Below are 23390 nucleotides of genomic sequence, written 5' to 3' on the forward strand. Positions count from 1 at the left end.
AAATCTTGACTTTGCATATCATACTTTTAAGGGTGTTCCATTCTATTATAATATATTACTATTGCTTTCAGGGATGTTTAAAATAACAATGTCAGTGATGAAGAAAATTTTGAATTAAGAATAAAAGGATTACATATCAGTCTTCATCAGAGGACCTGGTTTTAAACAATGTAAAGCATTTTTAATTTTTACTTTTTGTGAGATATAGATTCTTCGTGAATTCCAGAGGTTCTAAAAAACTCATAATGTGGTGCAGTTCTAATACTCTACCCTTGTCATTTTGTTTTTTAAAAATGTTAAACATACAAATCTGGCTAATGACATTTTTTGCTAAATATAGGAAGTAGAGGACCAGTGGAGAATTTAATCCTGGTTTATTGCGTAGCATGTGAAATAATCATGCATATCAAAGTAGTGATTCATTTTGAAAATTGGCAGTTTGCTTTATTTATGTCAGTCACAAATAAGGATATGTCTTTTTCATTCCTAATGGTAAAAGTTTAAGCTCTCTGAAGTGGACAGCTAATATACTTGTCATAGTTGATTTATGCGTAATTTGTAATGCTTTTCCACTGACACAATTGAAAATATAAATATGGCAAAATCTTTTGTCTACTTTTTATGTTTTCTTTTATAATCTTTGTGGAGGAGTTAACAGGATAAAACATCTAATTTGTTAGCATGTCAGATATTTAAGTTAGGAAGTCATGTGTAAGTCCTTTGATTACGTTTTTAAAATTTATTTGTGGAAAGGCCACCAGACCCCAATCCTACCATTTCAGAGTTTATGGATTCTTAAAGACCATTCTTCTTGTAATGAAAACCGTAGTTGAGCATGAAACTGCCTGAGTGGCACCAGTAGATTATAAAAAGGGGTAGAAGTGTCTCGGCAAAGCTTTTAGCTGTTTGTCTGAAATACACTCATGCAAACATTCCCACCCATCACCATCACTGTTCACGGAAAATAAGCTCTATCCTGATAGCCTGTAGAGTTAAACAGATTAATAGAAATGACGTTCTGCTTCTCTCTCTCTCTTTTTCTCAGTTGATTCGATGTCATCAGTCCCGTGGTGGAGCCTGTGGAGACAACATTCAGTCTTATACTGCCACAGTCATTAGTGCTGCTAAAGTGAGTACCTCCGAAATCTTGGAGAGTTGTGGTTATGTGTAGTAATTGTTCAGATTTCTCTCCTGAATTATATTTTCTATTGTAATGATTGTAGTGCTTGTACTTATCCAATTTTAAAGATTTTAAGTCTGTTAACTAGCTTCAAGACTGTTACCTAATTAATACCACATTTGGAAGAAGCTTTCCATGTTTTAAACAGTGACTTCTGGATTCTCTGTGATTTGCATCGTTCTGCCTACACTGACATCCCTTTGCATCTTTGAACATTTCAGAGTCTTCTTCTCATGAAAAGAATATTATTCCCTATGAAAACTTGAGTCAGTCCCTCGTCACATTCAAAGATTCTTTTATATCAAGGGGCTGCCCCTTCATGTTTGTCAAGTGAGCTCTTTTTTTCATGTGTGTGAGGGTTAATTTTGATGATGTCTGGTAAACTTTATGCTGATTATAAGGTATTCTTGTAACCACTATCCTTTAGAATTGTGAAGTATACAACAAAACAATTCTAATAATAGGAATGACAGAGTGAATCTAAAAGACAACATATAATAGAAAGCACAACCATTCAGAAAAGAACAACAGTTTAAAGCAAACCACAGAGTGGGAATCAAAGGTCACACTGTTTTATGTAAAACAAATACAAAAATACTTCATATTTGATCACAGACGCTTACATGATGCGCTTCAGAATGTGTTCCTTGGTTTGATGAGAGAAGCATTACATATTTTTCACCCAAAAGGGAATTAACCATTAGGTCTTTATGCCTATAGCACTATGAGTTTTTAGATTTCAGAAATCTTTTTTCTTTTCTTAAGACAGGGTCTCGCTCTGTTGCTCAGGCAGGAGTGAACACCCACCTCAGCCTTCCAAGTAGCTGGGACTACGGGCGCATGCCGCCACGCCTGGTTTGTAGAGACAGGGTTTTGCCATGTTACGCAGGCTGGTCTTGAACTTCTGAGCTTAAGCAATCCACCCACCTCAGCCTCCCAAAGTGCTGGGGTTACAGGTGTGCATCACCGCACCCAGCAATTGCAGAAATCTTAATAAAGATTGCTTACTTTTCTCCATTGTGTATAGAAAAATTATGATGGTTATTTCAATGAAGAGCTGAGAGAGAGTATTTAGAAAACATCTTCAGTATTAGTCTACTCATTTATCCACAAAATACAACGAGATCTTTTTCTCAAGTATTAGACTCCTTTTAGACTTGTCTATCTCATACACATGGGTCACGATAGTTTAGCTTATGATCATTTTCAGTAATTTTTAGTTATGGAATGGAGGATAACTTTTCAGCTCCTGTTTGCTATTCTTATGTGTTTATGTGCTTATATAAAAAGAAAGTGATCTTCATTCCATGTTTTGCTGTGGACATGCTGGAGTGAGGCTGGACTTAAGATGTTTTAAAAATAAGTGCAGGGCTGGGCGCTGTGGCTCATGCCTGTAATCCCAGCACTTTGGGAGGCTGAGGTGGGCGGATCATGAGGTCAGGAGTTCAAGATCAGCCTGGCCAACATAGTGAAACCCCGTCTCTACTAAAAATACAAATATTAGCTGGGCATGGTGGCGGGTGCCTGTAGTCCCAGCTACTCAGGAGGCTGAGGCAGGAGAATTGCTTGAACCCAGGAGGCGGAGGTTTCAGTGAGCTGAGATCACGCCACTGTACTCCAGCCTGGGCGACACAGCGAGACTCTGTCTCAAAACAAACAAACAAACAAACAAACAAAACAACAAAAAAAATGCAAACTCCCCATTTTCTCATACCTCAATATTGGGAACTGTGAGGCATATACTCATGTCTTCCACATTTAAGACTATGAAATTATGTTTAATATAACACTTTAGGGCTGGATGCTGTGCCTCGTGCCTGTAATACCAGCATTCTGGGAGGCTGAGGTGGGAGGATCACATGAGCTCAGGAATTTGAGACCAGCTGAGGCAATATAGTGAGACCCTGTCTCTACAAAAAAATTTAAAAATTATCTGAGTGTGATGGTACATGCCTGTTGTCCCAGCTACTCCAGAGGCTAAGGTGGGAAGATTGCTTGAGCATTGGAGGCCGAGGCTACAGTGAGCCATGATTGCGTCACTGCAATCTGTTTACTTTTCTTTTTGGGAGAATATAAGGGTTATTTTTAAAAAACTCACAAAGATGTCTCCAGACCTAGAAAACTTCTCTAGAGAATTCTTTTTAATATTTAAGAATAAACAATGGCAATATTACAAAGACTCTTCCAGTGAATAAGCAAAGTCAGATTATGCCTAATCTGGTTTGATGAAGCCAGATCACCTTAATACTAAAACTTTAGAAGAGCATTATAATACAAGAACACTACAGTCCAAATCAATGAACATAGATGTGAAAAATCCTAAATAAAATATTTGCAGAAAAACAGCATTATATAGGATACCATATATATTGTGTCACAGTCCATTTGGAATAAGAATATATGGACATAATTATAGTATAATATATAGGACACAATATATGCTGTGTCACAATCCACTTGGGATAAGAATATATAGGACACAATTCTTCAGTATATAGGACGCTATATATTGTGTCACAATCCATTTGAGATAATCCACAATATAAGCTGGTTTATCACTCAAGATCAATGAGCATAATTTGCACATTTAACAGGAGAAAATTATATGCTTATCACAATAGATGAACAAAAAGTATTTGATAAAATTGAAAATATATTCATTGATAAAATCTTAATAAATACAGATAGTTTCTGGTTCTCTTGGTTTTTAAATTTTTCTCAAATTATCAAACTTGTTTAAACACAGTAAACCTGGTCATACTGAAGTCTGTTTCTGATAACTCTAATGTCTGGTTCCCTTTTGGGTCCATTTCTCTTGTGTGTTGTTTCTGCTCGTTCTCATTTATTATGACTTGAGTCCTTGTGAAGCGGTGTCATTTGTCTGGGGTAATACCCGAAGTTTGTTGTCTCATGCCAAGGAAATTGAAGACGCGGACACACAAGGAATGGGTTTAAGAGTGGAAGTTTCATAGATGAAGAAAGAAGAGAGCTTCCTCCTGCAGAGAGAGGGGGCCTGAGCGGGTTTCAGGATTGGGGCGAGATGTGATTGGTTTTATAGATGAGCTTGAGGAGGTCATGTTTGATTTACATAGGGTGTAGTGGGTTGGTTGGACCAGGTGTGTCATTTGCATAGCATGTGTAGAGGCTGGCTATCCCACCATAATCTTTTATTATGCAAATGGAGTCTCTACCTGGCTGGTGCCATGTTGCCTGCACATGTGGTTACAAAGAAAAGGTAAGAGGGAACCTCTCGGTTGAATATACCTGACTTCCAGATATCCCTTTTCTATTGGCACAGCTGCTGGCATTCACCTATGCAAGCTTCCAGCTTGCTTATCTATGCTTGCAGCTTGATCTTTCAGGCTGCTTTTTGTTAGAAAAGAAATTATTTGGGGGCTGATTTTTATTTAAAGGAAAACCTTGCTGAGGACTCTCTTACTCTCACTAACTGCCTAAATAATTTCTTTTTAACTCCTGTTATCACTTGTTTGCCAGAATTTATTTCAAAACTTTTTAGAAAATAGTTTTGAGTTTGGGATGACAGTGGAGTTCTGGGACAGTATCAGTCTTGAATAATAATCCAATTTCAGGGATTGAGATTATTTGAGTGAAGTTCACCTGCAATAGCTGTGGTCACCTTATTGCTGTAGGTGGACTCTTCTATTGTATATTTCTTTATGTTCAAACCCAAGCTTGGAGGGAATGTCACCAAGTAGACCCATTTGGCAGGGCTTTGACTCTCATAGATGATTTTCTAGTTCCATCTATCAAAAACACCACTTAGTTTCTTAGCACCCTACCTCCTGCTTCCTAGAATCACCAGATACCTCTAGGCCTAAATGCCTAGCTGAAATGTCTGGATTTCCTTATTCTTTCGGATTCTGACTTTGTAACTCAGTACCTTCAAGCAGCATTTTACAAAAATATTCTCTTCGATTTTCCTAGTTGTTCTCATTAGTGGAAATCAGATTGATCTGATTTCCCCAACCTGTCATTATTGAAAATAGAAAACATATTTTCTTATTTATTTTTTAACCATTTCTAGGTGATATATTTTTTGAGATACAACATGGAGAGCACGTTAAAAAGCCATGTAGTATGTGCTCCTTAAGAAAAATACTTAAGTAATTTTACAGTTACTTTATTAAGTCACTTTCTCTGAAAGTGTAATCATTACTCTTTTACTCTTTCCGATGACAGCTTCCCTTGTGGCTTAATAGAGGTTATTAACCACTTTGTTATATAGAAGGATGAATTATTAATTTTTTTGTCTTAAATTTTTTGTCTCACTGCAATTGTGAGGATAAATATATTCATTGCATATGTACTTGGAGCTCCTTAGAGGAAATAATCTTTTTTACATTTTCTGCATTTCCAAATACAACTTGCATAATATTTATGCTATTAATGTTTTTTCCTTTGATTTTCCAAGTAATTTGACTTTTCTCATAAAGAATATGAGAGTCATGAATTTTTTATGGTAGTGATAAAAAATATTGAAATTGTTCAAATGAGATTATTTGACACATTTATAAAATCTTGGTCCATATTTTCTAGTTCCCTCATTACCGTCTTATTTTCATGTGTGTTACCAGTGTGGTCAATTGATTTAATAAAAATGCCCCTGTTTTCTCTTGTTATCTGATAACTTCCTAATGACAACTAACAGCTTTTGTGAGAGCAGCACCATTAGCACTAATGGATAGGGAGGCCAACTGATATGGCATGGGAAAGGTTAAAGATGACTAGTGACCCTTCGGCAAATCTGCTTGCAGCAGAACAGAATAAGTACCATGCTCATTTGAATTATAGGTCATAACGGATTTTCTCACACTTTCGTTATAGTCTGTCATGTTCAGCTGTCTTACAGCTACAGTTTAGTTCTGTGAGTACTTGTGTGAAGATTCATCAGTGATTTAATGAACATTTTTATGTAGATACCTCAGATTGTGAGGACACTTAGTCTAATTTTTCATCTCCTTTTGGCCAGGTTATACTTCTCTATTCCTAATTTTTGCTGAGGCTTTATAATTTTTCATATATATTTGAGAAAATAGTCAGATATATACATACTCTGTCTACTAAAATTAATTGGAGAGACAAATTACTGTGAGGTGATTTAGATTTCCGTTAAATAACATTATCAGTTAACTTCTGGACACTAGTGCTCATAGATGTGCTTGATGCTAACATGGAAACAAATTTACCCTAAAAGCAAGGGTCTTTACAAATGCAGAAAACTTCCAGCACTTTTCTCTAACACCCCTGACTCCCTGCATAGTTAATGGGTTATGATAAATAGTAGTATCTTGTAACTTGCTATACAAATTGCATATTTGATGACTTAAATTTTGAGTTTAGATTTTTGTCCACTACTAAGACAACTCCATCAATAGTCATGTTTTTTTTTTCCCTAGGAAATATCAAACACTCTTCATGTAATATGAGCTGTTGACTATGAAATCTACTGCTGTCTTCTCTCTGTGGATCTTTTTCCTGGTTCTCTTATGTTAACTTTTACTGTTGTGGTTTGCTTTGGTACACATTACTTTCCACTTTTTATGTGCTCCAGTTCTTTTAGTTTTATTCCTTTTCATTGGTATAAGAGCATGAAATAATAGGCTCAGGGGCAAATGGGGAGGATATACAACCAAAGACTTTAAAACTAAAAGGCATTCCTTTGATAAAGGGATAGCTGTGTTTAAGTGGGAGCATCTCCATTAGCATTAATGGAGTGAGTACATCAGTTAAGGCATCTCAGAGGTTAATCAGGCTTCCTGGCCTGCTCTTGACATCAATACACTGTGGCGCCTGAATCTGTTGGTCCTTCAGAGGCTTACTTGACAACACTCCAACAGACTTTGTGTAAGTCATTTCTTGTGAATTATTGAAAGAAATGTTTGGCTGCTAATTGAGGAACGTTGATGTGTTTTATAATCGCGGGAGTTTGAGTTTTTAGCACTAAACAAAACAGTTACAATTGATTTGTGGCTTTCTCTTGGTTTTAGTCTGCTGTTAAATTATATCTTTTTATTTGAATTCAGCATATGGCTTTGCTGGTCATTTTTATTTAAGTATTTATTAGTATATTATTATGGATTTTAATTTTTCCTGTTTTCCACCTTTCAGACATCTGTGTTTTGTATTCATTAACTGTGAGATCACAAGTAGTAACAGAAATAGATTACAAGGCAGTACAGGATAGTGTAAAAATCAGGCCCTGGAGACAGATGGTCCCAGTTTTGAATTCTGACTTTGTCATTGGGTAACTGTTTGAGCTTCCATTTTACTTAACTTCCCTAGCCTCGATTTTCTCTTTCATAAAATTGAAGTATCTGAGGAAATCTATCAACATAGTTTATGTTAAGTGCCTTTACCAGTCCCTAGTCCATAGAAAAGCCACCGTGGAAACATAGCTACCATAAAATAATGCATCTATTATTAGTGCTAGTTTTATGGTATTTTAATAGAACACTTCTTTGGAAAATACTTCTCCCATTTTCAGTTTTAATCTAATTATTGCTTACATCACATTTAGACCTCTATACACAACTGTCTTTGTGTACTATTTATGAATTAAAATTTGAAATACCATGTATATAATAGTTTATATTTTCAAATTTAGCCATAGCATGTGCCAGAATTAGGTAAGGATTTTTTTTTCATAATTGTTTTAGAAAAGATAGTCACCTCATTGAAGATTAATTTGAAATATTTTAATGAAACTTTTTTTCTTACAACATGAGAATTGGAAAAATGTACCTATATTATTTAAAATGTAATTTTTGATGTGTCTAAGTATTCTAGGGTGCCTGTTTTTGTTCTAATGATGATACCCTTCTTCAGCAATGTGTGACTCACAAGTATTTGTCTTTATTTTAGCTTTCTTCCTTTCATTTCTTTTTCTGTAGACTCAGAAACTTGAAGCTTTCTTCCTTTCAGATGAAAAAACTTGTTATTTAGAAAAATGTTTCTATTAATGCATATGAAGATAATCAGAGGATATTCACATAGAAGAAAAAATATTTCACGAGTTAGTTTTACTTATATGTTTTGAATGAAATGGAGCTAAAATGTAATTATAAACATCTTAAGTTATCTTTAATTGAAATAATATAGTAGGAGCACCACATTTAATTGTTTTCTGTTACCAGATAGAAAATAACTCTCTTAACTAATTTAGTATGATACTTCATTCATCCAGTGATTAATATCTTGGACAGAGATTGTGTTTTCCATATGCCAAATCTTGGTATACAGTATTATATAACAGCATATTCATAGATTTGCTTTGGAAGCACATTCTTTTCCACATAGGTATTCTACCAGTGTCTCAGTCTTTTTCATACTAGAAATAGGTATACAATTAGAGTTATAATATTTCAAAGAATTGACCATTTCATAGTTTCTACTTCTTCCTATGTCATTGATTTTAAGATGTATACATTAAGAGGAGGGAATGAAAGAAATATCTTCTATAAAAATATAATTGTACCCTTATGTAAAACAGAGCTCTTTAATTTTTTTAACTATGGCTTTATGCCTGCCATGGTGACTTTAGAGACTTTACTGATGCCATTCCCTCAAACTAATACTGATATTCTAATTAAAATTCAAGATCATTAAAAGTCAGACTGAATGTCTGTGACAGTTTACTGCTATAAAAGATTGTAAGAGAATAAATAACATAATGATTAGGAAAATTAATAAAATGCGTATTTCTATGTAGAATCCAAATACTGATGTGAAGTCATACATTTTACCTTTCATTGTACAGACATTGAAAAGTGGCCTGACAATGGTAGGGAAAGTGGTGACTCAGCTGACAGGCACACTGCCTTCAGGTGTGACAGAAGATGATGTTGCCATCCACAGTAATTCACGGCGGAGTCCTTTGGTCCCAGGCATCATCACAGTTATTGACACCGAAACCGTTGGAGAGGGCCAGGTAAGAAGAACTTTTGGTGCGTACCATGTGTGTTACTTGCAAAGATGGGGCTAAGATCAAGATTAGTCAAAATGTATTTGGCCTAGGAGATTATCAATTTGGAATTTTAGGAATTCAGATTATTTCAAATGAGGTTTTTCTTTAAAAATGATTAGTAACATGTTAGAACCTGCTGTTTTGAACATTATTAATGCATCAAACCTGAAGGTAAAGTCGAGGTTCTAAGAGATTCTCTTATCTGTGAGGACATTTGTTTCATAAATAAATAATTATATAACATTTAATACTGTTCTGTTCATAATATTCTTTTTTTTCTTAACTTGCTACCCTAGAGACTCAGTTATTGTTTCTTTTTTGTGTGTAATGACATTTGTCATAACCTAAATTGTAAGATTAATAAATTTTTTTCTTTTTTTCTTTCTTTTTTTTTTTTTTTTTGAGATGGAGCATCACTCTGTTGCCCAGGTTGGAGTGCAGTGGAGTGATCTCAGCTCACTGCAATCTCTGCCTCCTGGATTCAGCGGATTCTCCTGCCTCAGCCTCCCGAGTAGCTGGGATTATAGGCATGTGCCACCACACCCAGCTAATTTTTGTATTTTTATTATTTATTTATTGAGACAGAGTCTTGCTCTGTCGCCCAAGCTAGAGTGCAGTGGCACGATCTTGGCTCACTGAAACCTCCACCTCCTGGGTTCAAGCAATTCTCCTGCCTCAGCCTTCCAGGTAGCTGGGATGTAGGTGCGTGCCTCCATGCCCAGCTGACTTTTGTATTTTTTAGTAGAGTTGAGTTTCTCCGTGTTGGCCAGGCTGGTCTCGGACTCCTGACCTCAAGTGATCTGTCCGCCTTGGCCTCCCAAAGTGCTGGGATTACAGGCATGAGCCACCGCGCCCAGCCTTAATTTTTGTATTTTTGGTAGAGACGCGGTTTCGCCGTGTTGGCCTGGCTGGTCTTGAACCCCTGGCCTCAGGTGATATGCCCGTCTCGGCCTCCCAAAATGCTAGGATTACAGGCATGAGCCACTGCGCCCAGCCACGTAAATTTTGTTTTAAAGGCAGGACCATACCTATTTGGAGGAATTTATAAACAAATTAATTAATAGTTGCAACTTACACAATTTACTGAGTAGTATCAAAATTTATAACAGATGTTTTCTTATCAATATAAAAATATGTGAAATCTTAAAGTAGCATATAAGAATACATACATGGCAGTAGCTTATTATAAAATCTTGTATCTTCAGATACAGTGTTCTGTAATTTTAAAAATCTAGCTTCAGAAACATTTACAATGAGTGATTATAAGTACAGAAATACATGTTACATTTGCTTATAAATCTTGCTGGTAAGGTATCATTTGGGCTGTTTTTCCCCCATGCACTCATAAACTCTATTTTCTTTTGTGTCATAGTCTTCATTTTAAATATACGTTTCTTAAAGGAAGGTAATTTTTTTATTCTGATAGTGTGTGATCATTGATATAAAAATACAATCTAGAATCAATTCCTAGAATGAGATAGGAGTAGGGCAGTATTGGTGAAATAAAATTTCTTTTAGTTTTTATATAGAATATATATTTAATTCCATATTCAGAGCACTATGCTTAGAAACTATGTGAGCTGTTAAGGTATTAGCCTTAAATATTGCATATGTTTTGAGAAAATCTGTTTCCAGTATATATGGGTTGGTGTTGTGATGAAAAATTACATTTGGCAGCTACTTATATGCTAGTTCCTATAGTAAGATTAACAGCGTTTCAAGAAAGTTTTTCTGCAATTACAACAAAAAAACTTTGAAATTCTGGATTATTAAATTTGGCTCTTGTATTTTACTTGAAATCTGAGTAATAATTCTCTGCCTCTCCTGTCTTAACTTTGTGGTTAGCCAAATGTGTTACAGATTCGTATTTTTTTAATGAAGTGCTAGAAGACTTTTCAGTTGACTTTAATGACTTTGTGTTAATTAGTTGATGTGGATAAACACAAATGTTCTCTTTTTTAATTGAAATGAAATGTATAAACTTTTAGTGTTGTGAGTGTTAGAGTAAAATATTCCTTTTGTTCTTTGATTTTTTGATTTTTAATTAATTCACCTACAAGGCCACCCACATTTATTGGGTAGTAACAACTCTCCTCAACATTGTCTAGGACCATACATCTGTTAAAGATCTAGCATTTGTTGATGGAGAGATTTGGGATTATTTCAAAATAGAAAATGTTATCTCAGTAATTTTGATGAAATAGAAGTGTAATTCACGTATTTATTTTGTTAAATGGAAGTATGGGGACATATAATTATATTAAAACATGACATTTAGGCCTTATGTTTTAAAATGTGGTTTAATTTTTTTCTTTAAGTTCATTAACTTTTTATGACCTTGAAAAAGGAAGTCTTAATTTTGGAGTATGGAAATGGACTATAGATTGGAGAGTTGCAAAAGTTCATTTGTCTGTGATAAATGCATTGATAACACTTGAAACAAATATGTTTATTAAGAAGAATCATAGAAATGTTAACTTTTAAAAGTTAAGAATCTTAAATGTTGTTCAACATGGAACATTCTACCTTTTCTGTTACTGGTTAGTAGCCCCAATCTTCCACTTATGACATATTCTGAAATTTTAACTTGATTAAAAAATTCTGTTAGAGGACAGGAAAGAAATTGATTTTCAATAAAAGGTGAGTTAGTGTGTACATTTTAAAAAATATATATAATTTGTAAAGCAACAAGATCTGTGCAGTATAATTCTGTCTTTTAATTAACATGAATCTGTTTTTTGTCAATAAAATGTTTTTGTCTCTGATAAGTAGTTCAGTTGGAGTACAGGCTGTTTTTAGATTATGCTGGATTGTATTAAAACTGCAGTGGTTAATGTCTTAGATTTATCGCTTTTAGCCCCTTCCGCTGATGTTTAGCCTAAACTGTAATGTTTTTCCTTTTCCAAATACAACTCAGATTGTATACGAAAAGCTGATAATACATTGACTTTTGCTGTTTAAATCCCTTGAGCCTTTGATAATGATTTTTTTTGTGTTAACAATTGTAGTATATAAAATCGGATTCACCATCCTTCTGATGCCATATTGATTAGTTTGATTTTATGGTGATGGGATCATTGTGTGTTAACTGTATTAAGAAGAAATGGATTTGATTGACTTTGCATCCATTTTTATCTGTGTTACTTTCATGTTTTATTTAAAAGCATTTCTGGACCAGAATAAGTTAAGTGGTATAATTTGCTTTTTACACGTTTATATAATTGAAGTTAGCAATGTGGCAAAATCTCTAATGGAAATAAAATGCTTCAGAATGATGACATAAATCTGAGCTATTTCTTGCCTGGAGAACAAGTGTTATTCATAATAATTTAATAGCTTCTGAGGTGTTTTGTTCATGTGATGAAGGCTTATCCACCTTGTATCAATTCATGGGCTCTGCTTTGTTTAATGTAGTCAGGTTGTTAATACAGACTTAAGAGTTCATCCTACTGTGATAAGTGGTGAGTGAAGATTACATGTCTTAGGAAAATTATACTGGAATATCTCTGACATTAATGGTTTAATGTTTTAGGCTAGGTGATGATGCAATGGAGAAGATTCTTCCAAAAGTATCTGGTTGTTTATATTTGTGAAGTCCATAAAGAGAACATTCAAAGAATCTTACGTAGTGGTAAGATTAATGTGCCTTTTTGCTGGATGGCTTCTGTCTTTATTATTGCCATCAAATTGAATACTCAATGCCAGTTGTATTGGAAGGAAACATACAGGGTGTAGGGTTATAATATATGAAAGGAAAGGGAATCTTGTAGATAAAGTTTAAAGTAGAAAAATGGGCAAAAGATAGAAATAAATATTTCACAGAGAAAATAAAATATGGTTGACCATTGAACAACATGGGTTTGAACTGCACAGGTCTACTTATATGTGGATTTTCTCTGTCACTACCAGCCCTTAGACAGCAAGACCAACCCCTTTTCTTCCTCCCTGTCCTCCTCCTCCTTAGCCTACCTGTAGTGAAGACAATGAAACTGAAGACCTTTATAATTGATTCACTTCCACTTAATGAACAGTAAATATATTTTCTCTTACTTTATTATAAGAATATAATCTGTAATACATAACATACGAAATATGTGTTAATTGACAATTTTTGTCATCAGTTAGGCTTCCAGTCAATAGTAGGCTATTAGTAGTTAAGTATTGGAGGAGGGAAAGTCATATGCAGATTTTCAGCTGTGCAGGGGGTCAGCACTTGTAAACATGAGTTGTTCAGAGGTCAACTATACATGTAAATGATATAAAATATACCCATAACTTCACTTGTTATTAATGAGAAAGCTGCAAATTAAAACTGAGATACCATGTTTTACTTATCAGAAACTGAGCCGCTCAAAAGCTTGCAATATATTCTATATTTTTATTAATTTTGAAGTAATTATAGACTCACAGTGAGTTGCACATGCCTTTCATCTTACTTCCTCCAGCTTAACCTGAATGATGATGTATTTTGTAGCTATAGTATAGTACCAAAACAAGAAAATTTTCTGAGTGATGTGGGTTAACAAAAAAAACCTCAGAAAATGGACAATGATACACTCTGTTAACTAGGCTACAGGTCTTAATCAGTTTTCTCTATTTGTTTAACCTGCATTCATTGGTGTGTTTATGTGGGCATGTATAGGGCTGTGAAATTTTATCCCATGTATACATTCATGTAACCCCCACCACAGTTAAGATACAGGACTGTTCTAAACTGTTTCATCAACGCATACTTCTTTGTATTTCATGAGCATCCCTCATCCCACCCCATCCCTTTTTCCTGATAACCACTAATCTGTTTTCCATCTCTATAGTTTTATGACTCTGACAACGTTATGCAAATTGAATAATACATTATGTAATATTTTAAGATGGACTTTTTACACTAAATATATTGTCTTTGAAGTCCATTCAGGTTGCAGCATGTAGTTCGTACTTTTTTTCTTTTCTTTTTTTTTTTTTGAGACAGAGTCTCACTCTGTCGCCCAGGCTGGAGTGCAGTGGCGCGATCTTGGCTCACTGCAAGCTCTGCCTCCTGGGTTCATGCCATTCTCCTGTCTCAGCCTCCTGAGTAGCTGGGACTACAGGTGCCCGCCACCACACCTAGCTAATTTTATGTATTTTTTAGTAGAGACGGGGTTTCGCCATGTTAGCCAGGATGGTCTCAATCTCCTGACCTCGTGATCTGCCCACCTCAGCCTCCCAAAGGGCTGGAATTACAGGTGTGAGCCACCGCGCCCAGCTGTAGTTTGTACTTTTCAATCACTCTGTTGTATTCCATTGTATGAATGTGTCAGTTTGTTCAATTATTCACCCCTTGAAGGACATTTGCACTGTTTCTAGCATTTTTCTATTATGAATAAAGCTGTCGTGATCATTTGTGTAAAGGTTTTTAATGTGGATATGTTTTCATTTCTCTGTAAATGCCCAAGAGTATTGCTGAGTTGTATAAGTGCACTTTTAGAAAGGAAATGTGCAACTATTTTCCAAAGTGCCTGTGCTATTTTATATTCCCACCAGCACTGTATGATAGACAGCAGATTTCCCAACTGAATCCATGGAAGCTGAAGAAAGTGGTACAATATCTTTAAAGTACTGAAATAAATGAACTGGTAGCCCCAAATTCCATTTGTAGTGAAAATATACTTCAGAAATGAAAGGGAAATAAAGGCATTCTTAGAAAAAGGAAAACTAAGAGAACCTATCACTCGCAGATCAACTCTTAAAAATGGCAAAAAGTTTTCCAAGGAAATGACAATAAAAGAAGGCTTAGAACTTCAAAAATGAAAGAACAACAATGGGGTGGGTAAAAATAAAGGTATATGTGAGATATCCTTTTTAATGAATTTATAAGATTATATTTGATGATTGCGTTAGAAATTGTAACATCATCTGATGTGTGTTGACCGATGTGTGTGTAAGAAATACTTAATATTTTTATATTTTAAAAAATGGGGACATAAATTGAACTTTATAAAAATCAAAATTTATGCTACAGTGGACACAATCAAGAAAATGAAAAGACAACTCACAGAAGGGGAGAAAATATTTGTAAATCATATTTTTGATAAGGTACCAGTATTCACAATATGTGAAGAACTCTTATAACTCAAAAATAAAAAGACTACCTAATTTTCAATGAGCAATGGATTTGAATAAACATTTCTTTGAAAAAGATATACCTGTGGCTGATAAGCAGAAATTGGGACCCTTCTAACCTGCTAGTCAGAATTGTGCATTCACTTTGTAAAAGAGTTTCAAAGTTCTTCCCAAAATGTTAAACAGAGTTATATGACTAATATATATCTACGATAAAACTCTGAATATTTGCAGCATTGTTTGCAATAGCCAAAAAGTAGAAAAAAATCTAAATATTCATCAACTGATGAATGGGTGGATAAATAAAATGTGGTATATGCAAACAATATAATATTATTTAACAATATAAAATGTACATTTTAGTGGCATTAAGTACATTTGTAGTGTTATATAATTATCAGTACAGGCACTATCCCTTTCCAAAACTTTTTCACCATCTGAAACTGAAAGTCTCTGCCCATTAAACAATAACTTCCCAGTACTCTGTTTCCCAGGCCCTGGTAACCAGCATTCTACTTTCTGTGTTTGAATTTGCCTGTTTCTAGGTATATCACATAGTGCAATCCTACAGTATTCATCCTTTTGTGTCTGGTTTATTTCACTTAGCATAATATTTTCAAGGTTCATACCTGTCGTAACATATATCAGAATTTCATACTTTTTAAAGGCTCCATAATATTCCACTGAATGTGTATACTACATTTTGTTTATCCATTTACTTATTGATGGACATTTGGCTTACTTCTACCTTTTGCCAATTTTTTTTTTTTTATTGAAATGGAGTCTTGCTCTGTTACCAAGGCTGGAGTGCAGTGGCACAATGTTGGCCCACTGCAACTGCTGCCTCTTGGGTTCAAGCGATTCTCTTGCCTCAGCCTCCCAAGTAGCTGGATTACAGGCATCTGCCACCATGTCTGGCTAATTCTTGTATTTTTTGTAGAGACAAGGTTTCGCTATGTTGGCTAGGCTGGTCTCAAACTCCTGACCTCAAGTGATCTGCCTGCCTTGGTGTCCCAAAGTGCTGGGATTACAAGCATGAGCTACCGTGCCCCGCCACCTTTCGCCAATTTTGAATAATGCTTGTGTGAACATTGGTGTACACATTTCTAATTGAGTCTCTACTTGTAATACTTTTGGTTATGTACCTAAAAGTCAAATTGCTGGATCATATGGTAATTCTATATTTAATTTTTTGAGGAATTACCAAGCTATTTTTCACAGTGGCTGGACCATTTTAAATTCCCACCAGTGAACGTCCAATGATGGATAAGGGTCTCAATTTCTCGTATATCCTTACCCCAACACTAGTTATTTTTCTTTTTAAAAATAATGGCCATCCTAATGATGTAAATGGCCATCCTAATGAGTGCAAAGTAGTATCTCATCATGGTTTTAATTTGCATTTACCTAAGGAATAGTGATGTTAAGCCTCTTCTCATTTGCTTATTGGCCATTTGGTTATCTTTAAAAAATTGATACATAATATTTGTACAAATTTTTGGGGTACATGTGATATTTTGTTATATGCATAGAACGTCTAATCATCAAATCAGGGTATTTAGGATATATATCACCATGAGCACTTAGCATTTCTATGTGTAGAGAACATTTTAAGTCTTCACTACTAGCTGTTTTTAAATGTACCAGGTATTGTTGTTAACTATTGTCACTCTACTATGGAATGTTAGAACTTATTCCTTTGATCTGAGTGTACATTTGTACCCAACCTGTCTTTCTTCATTCTTTTTTTCTTTTTCTTTTTCTTTTGTCTGACTGGGTTAGTTTGAAAGGCCTGTCTGTCAAACTGAAATCTCTTTCTTCTGTTTCATCTAGTCTATTGTTGAAGCTTCTCAATTTTTTTTTTTTTTTTTTTGAGATGGAGTCTTGCTCTGTCACCCACGCTGGAGTGCAGTGGCGCGATCTTGGCTCACTGCAAGCTCCGCATCCCGGGTTTACGGTATTCTCCTGCCTCAGCCTCCTGAGTAGCTGGGACTACAGGCACCCGCCACAATGCCCAACTAATTTTGTGTATTTTTTAGTAGAGACGGAGTTTCACCATGTTAGCCAGGATGGTCCCGATCTCCTGACCTCGTGATCCACCCGCCTCAGCCTCCCAAAGTGCTGGGATTACAGGCGTGAGCCACTGCACCTGGACTCACTTGTATTTTTATGTCATTCATTGAGTTATTCAGTTTATGGATTTCTGTTTGGTTCTTTCTTATGAGATCTATCTCTTTGGTGAATTTCTTTTTCATATCCTGAATTGTTTTTCTTATTTCTTTGTAATGTTGTCTGTGTCTGCTTGTATCTCACTGGGCTTCTTTAATATCATTATTTTTCAATTCTTTTTCAGGCATTTTATACATTTTTTGGGGGGGTTAAAACCTATTGTTGGAAGATTGTGTTTCTTTGGAGGTGTCATATTTCCTTGCTTTTTCATATTTCTTGTGTCCTTTCATTGATGTCTGTGCATCAGGTATAACACTTCTAATTTTTTTTTTCTTGAGACGAAGTCTCGGTCTGTTGCCAGGTTGGAGTGGTGCAGTGGTGCGATCTCAGTTCACTGCAACCTCTGCCTCCCAGGTTTAAGTGATTCTTCTGCTCAGCCTCCCGAGCATCTGGGACTACAGGTGTGTGCCACCACGCCCAGCTAATTTTTGTGTTTTTAGTAGAGACGAGGTTTCACCATGTTGGCCAGGATGGTCTCGATCTCTTGAGCTCGTGATCTACCCGCCTTGGCCTCCCAAAGTGCTGGGATTATAGGCGTGAGCCACCATGCCCGGCCCACTTCTAATTTTTAAAATTGGCTTTCATAGGGGAAGGCTTTTTCCTGTGTGTTTTTTTTTTTAAAATAATGACAAGGTATTTTTAAATTGGTAATACATAGGAAGATAATAACTCAAAGGAGTAGGTAGCAGATGCCAGTATATTCAATCAATGAGCTGTATTTTACTGGAATTTAATCAATATTAACCTGAAATAGATGATAAGTTAATATGCATATTGTAATCCCTCCAACTACCGCTAAGAAATTACTCAGAAAAAGTAACAGAGGACTTAAAATATTAATGCTAAAAATATTTTCTAAACACAAAAGAAGATAGGAGGAACAACAAACACCTAAGACATATAAATATACATAGTAAAATGGCAAACTTAAAATCCAGTTATACCAACAATATATTAATGGCAAATGTATCAGACCCAAATTGCTTCAGATTCAAAGACCACTTGTTTGAAAATAAAAAGATGGTAAAAAATATATCACATGCTTTAAAAATTTTAATGTAAGACCTCAAACTAAAAATCATAGATGAAAACCTAGGAAATACCCTTTTTGACATCTGCTTTGGTAAAGAATTTTTGGCTGAGTCCCCAAAAGCGATTGCAACCAAAAACAAATATTGACAAATGATACCTGATTAAACTAAAGAGCTTCTGCACAGCAAAATAAACTATCAACAGAGCAAACAGACAACTACTTAATGGGAGAAAATGTTTGCAAATGGTTTATCTGATAAAGGTCTAATATCCAGCATCTGTAAGGAACTTAAATCAACAAGAACAAATAACCCCATTAAAAATGGGCAAAGGACACACATACACTTCTTAAAAGAAGACATACGTATGGGCCAACAAACATATGGAAAAATGCTCATCATCTCTCATCATCAGGGAAATGCTAATCAAAGCCACATGAGATGCCACCTTAACACCAGTCAGAATGGCTGTTATTAAAAAGTCAAAAACTGGCTGGGCCTGGTGGCTCATGCCTGTAATCCCAGCACTTTGGGAGGCCGAGGCAGGCAGATCACGAGGTCGGGAGATCAAGACCATCCTGGCTAACACAGTGAAATCCCGTCTCTACTAAAAACACAAAAAATTAGCTGGGCGTGGTGGCGGGTGCCCATAGTCCCAGCTACTCGGGAGGCTGAGGCAGGAGAATCGCTTGAACCCAGGAGGCAGAGGTTGCAGTGAACCGAGATCATGCCACTGCACTCCAGCCTGGGCGACAGAGCAAGACTCCATCGCAAACAACAACAACAACAACAACAACAACAACAACAACAACAACAACAACAACAGATACTGGTGGGGCTGTGGAGAAAAGGGAACACGTATACACTGCTGGTGGGCATCTGAATTAGTTCAGCCACTGTGGAAAGCAGTTTGGAGACTTCTCAACTTAAACAAAGCTACCACTTGACCCAGCAATCCCACTAATGGGTATATACCCATAGGAAAATAAATGGCTCTACCAAAAAGAGACATGTATATTAATCACCATGCTATTAACAATAGCAAAGACATGGAATCAGCCTAAGTGCCCGCCAGCAGTGGATTCAATAAAGGAAATGTGCTATTCATCACCATGGAATACTACACAGCCATAAAGAGAATGAAATCATGTCATTTACAGCAGCATGTGTGGAGCTGGAGGCCAAAACCTTAAGCAAATCAATGGAGAAATGAAAAACCAAATACTCCATATTCTCACTTATAAGTGGGAGCTAAACATTGACCACACCACGTTGGGAGGCCGAGGCGGGCGGATCACAAGGTCAGGAGATCGAGACCATCCCGGCTAAAACGGTGAAACCCCGTCTCTACTAAAAATACAAAAAATTAGCCGGGCGTAGTGGCGGGCGCCTGTAGTCCCAGCTACTTGGGAGGCTGAGGCAGGAGAATGGCGTGAACCCGGGAGGCGGAGCTTGCAGTGAGCCGAGATCCCGCCACTGCACTCCAGCCTGGGCGACAGAGCGAGACTCCGTCTCAAAAAAAAAAAAAAAAAAAAAAAACATTGACCACACATGGACATAAACATGGGAACTATTAATAGACACTGCAGACTACTAGAGTGGGGAGGGAGGAAGGAGGAGTATGGGTTCCTATTGGGTACTATGCTCACTACCTGGGTGCAATATATCCATGTAACAAACCTGCACATGCACCCCTTGTATCTAAAAGTTGAAATTAAAAAAAAAACATGTAAACAATAACCATAATAGAATTAGAGTGGCCATAGTAATATTAAAGACTTTACGTCAAGAAGTATTACTGGAGTAAAAGAGAGACATTTCATTCACGATAAAAGGGTCAATATAATAAAACAATTGTTAACACATAATACAGATAAAACATTTTTTTCTTTTTTTTTCTCAGTAATACTTGTTCTGGAAAACCACTATTAATATGTATAATTAATAAAACAATTATTAGTATATAAATACCTAACAACACAGCCACTAAAAACATTGAACAAAATCTGACAAAATTGAAAGAAGAAATTTTAGCTCTTTTTTTTTTGAGACAGAGTCTTGCTCTGTTGCCCAGGCTGGAGTGCAATGGCACGATCTCAGCTCACTGCAACCTCCGCCTCCTGGGTTCAAGCAATTCTCCTGCCTCAGCCTCCTGAGTAGCTGGGATTACAGGCACGCGCCACCATGTCCGGCTAATTTTTGTAGTTTTAGTAGAGACAGGGTTTCACTATATTGGTCAGGCTGGTCTCGAACTCCTGACCTCGTGATCCCCCTGCCTCGGCCTCCCAAAGTGCTGGGATTACAGGCATGAGCCACCGCGCCTGGCCCAATTTTAGCTCTTTATTACAGCTCAAGATTTACATAATTTATTCTCATTAATTGATAGGAATAAGCACTCTGTAATTTTCCACATGCATGTTAGTAAACATGTACGACTATTTCTCTATTAAAAAATAATTGATAGAACAACTAGATAGAAAATTAGAAAAGACTTAGAAGACATGATTAACACTATTTTCTAACTTGACCACCCAAAACTGCAGAATGCACATTATTTTCAAAAACATCTGAGACATTCATTGTACATGATAGAACAGATGCTTGGCCATGAAACAGATCTTAATAACTTTAAAAGGATTAAAGTCATGCGGAGTATTTCTCTAAGGACAATGGAAATCAATAACAAAATTCGATTTGGGGAATCTCCAAATATTTGGAAATAAAACGCACTTGTAAATAACTCATGGGTCAAAGAAAGAAGCTTAGGGACATTAGCAAATATTTTGAATTGAATGAAAATGAAAACAGAACATATAAAAATTTATGGAGTATAACTATAGTGTTATATGGAAGAAAATTTACAGCTTTAAATGCTTATATTAGGACAAGAAAATGGCCTGAAATTAATAATCTAAGTGTTTCCCTTAAAAGATTATAAAAAGGAGCAAATTATAACCAATGCAAGACTAATGAAGCAAATAATAAAGATCTGGATAGAAGCTGATGGAACAGTAAACAGTGAAATATTGGAAAAGTCTAAAATTGGTTATTTGAAAAGATCAATATAATCAATGTATTTGTAGCTAGATTGAATTGGAGGTTCTAGCTAGATCAATAAGGCATAAAGATCTGACAGGATAATGTTTCAGACATTTTTATGATGGCTTGTTGTTTATGATATTGTATAGCATGATTGACCTGCACAGTTAAAACGGGTAGCTTTTGTGGTGTGCAAGTTGTATCTTTGTAAAGCTTTCACTCACAAATACTATCTCAGTGCTTAAGTACATTGTTTTTTTGGGCTGTATTTGCATATATGTTGTAACTGATAAAATAACTGTTCTGGTCATTTGCTCTGTATCTTTCAGGGCAGGAATAACATTTGGTTTATATTCTGAGCTCTAAGCAGAGTATTTTACACATAGTAAGACTTGACTCTTAACATGCATTTTTGAGAGAAAAAAATAGCGTTGCCAGTGTAGGACAACTTCCAAGGCTACTTAAAATCAAATTTCTCTGTGTCTAAATATTATGATCCAAAATTGGTGTAATAGGTTTTCTTTCTGAAACATTAGATAAGTAAAACAATTTTTAAAAAGTTGTTGAACTTATGATGGGAAATTATATGGAATGTAAATTATATTTCAGTGTAGCCTTAAAAATTAAGAGGAGTGAATAAAAGAAACTCCATTTGAGATACAGAGGTACCTATTCTAATGTACCTCTGCTTTTATGATTTCATAGTCATTTCAAAGAAGTTCTATTTCTCTCTAGAAACTGAGAGTTGAAGAACACGACTTTCATACTATAATATGAAAATGTTATTGGATGATTTCTCTATACACCTGTTTATTTATGTTTAACAAATTATGTTGTTTCCCCCCCATTCTTATATTTCAATAAGGGGCAAAAAATTGTGATTTCCCAGCAGATCGCATAACACAGTAAGACCTGTATTTCCTGTCCTTGGATAAAGCGCTAAGTGATTACATTTTGTAAAGAATTGAAAATAGTTGATTGTATCATTTTTTTTCCTCTGAACCTATACTTGAAGAAGTAATTGTTTCTGTCATCTACAGTCAAGTCAGCTGACTCTTTTTAGAGTTTATATGACTGATGTGCGTGGGGGCATGTTATATCTCTTCCTCAATTCTAAAGTGGAATTCTCTCCTTATATTGGCAAGAATAATCTGCTAGAGTGGAAACATGTTATTTGGTCAGTGGTTTGTGATGTGCCTTCTTATAGGCTTCAAGCTCGGTTATCAGTGAGAAAATATTTACCTCCATTTGTCTTTATTTCTTTGTGAAGGTGCTTGTGAGTGAGGATTCTGACAGTGATGGCATTGTGGCCCACTTCCCTGCCCATGAGAAGCCAGTGTGCTGCATGGCTTTTAATACAAGTGGTAAGTTCGCTCTCTGTCTTTTTTTTTTTTTTTTTTGTAGACCATTTATATAATGGGTTTTCCAGCCAAATATGGAATATGGAATCTGACTTTTCTTCATGTATCAGTATATATCAGAAAAGTTATTAAGTCATTATATTGAATAAAGGAATTTATAATAAAAATTTAGTACCCCTCTAAAATCCCTCTAAAATTGGTTTTGTTCTCGATAAAGTAGCTATTAAATAGCAGCCATTTAAACAATGCTGTTGAGTTACATGAATTTCTGTTTATAATTACTCCAAGAACTTCAGTATTCCAAACTAGAATATTAATGGATATGAGCAGTATTTTTTTTTTGTAACTTGAAGTTTTGTGTAACTAACTTACAACACTTTGTAAGCTAATTTAATTTTCTCGGTTTTTTTTTTAGTGGTGCTCTTTTTCTTTTTCTTCTTAAGGTTTACTCCTTACATTTTGTTATA

General features: G+C 35.5%; 1 protein-coding gene across 8 annotated transcripts in view; it reads left to right on the top strand.

Moving 5' to 3' along the window:
- BCAS3 (BCAS3 microtubule associated cell migration factor) overlaps positions 1–23390 on the top strand; it is a 714981-nt gene that overhangs the window by 223724 nt on the left and 467867 nt on the right. For all 8 annotated transcript variants that reach the window (NM_001353144.2, NM_001353145.2, NM_001330413.2 and 5 more), the window contains exons 11-13: positions 1046–1129; positions 8958–9128; positions 22833–22926. In NM_001353144.2, the coding sequence (NP_001340073.1) occupies positions 1046–1129; positions 8958–9128; positions 22833–22926 (349 nt within the window). The remainder of the gene's footprint in view (positions 1–1045; positions 1130–8957; positions 9129–22832; positions 22927–23390) is intronic.

The sequence above is a fragment of the Homo sapiens genome, chromosome 17, assembly GCF_000001405.40.
Source record: "Homo sapiens chromosome 17, GRCh38.p14 Primary Assembly".
Classification (NCBI taxonomy): Eukaryota; Metazoa; Chordata; class Mammalia; order Primates; family Hominidae; genus Homo; species Homo sapiens.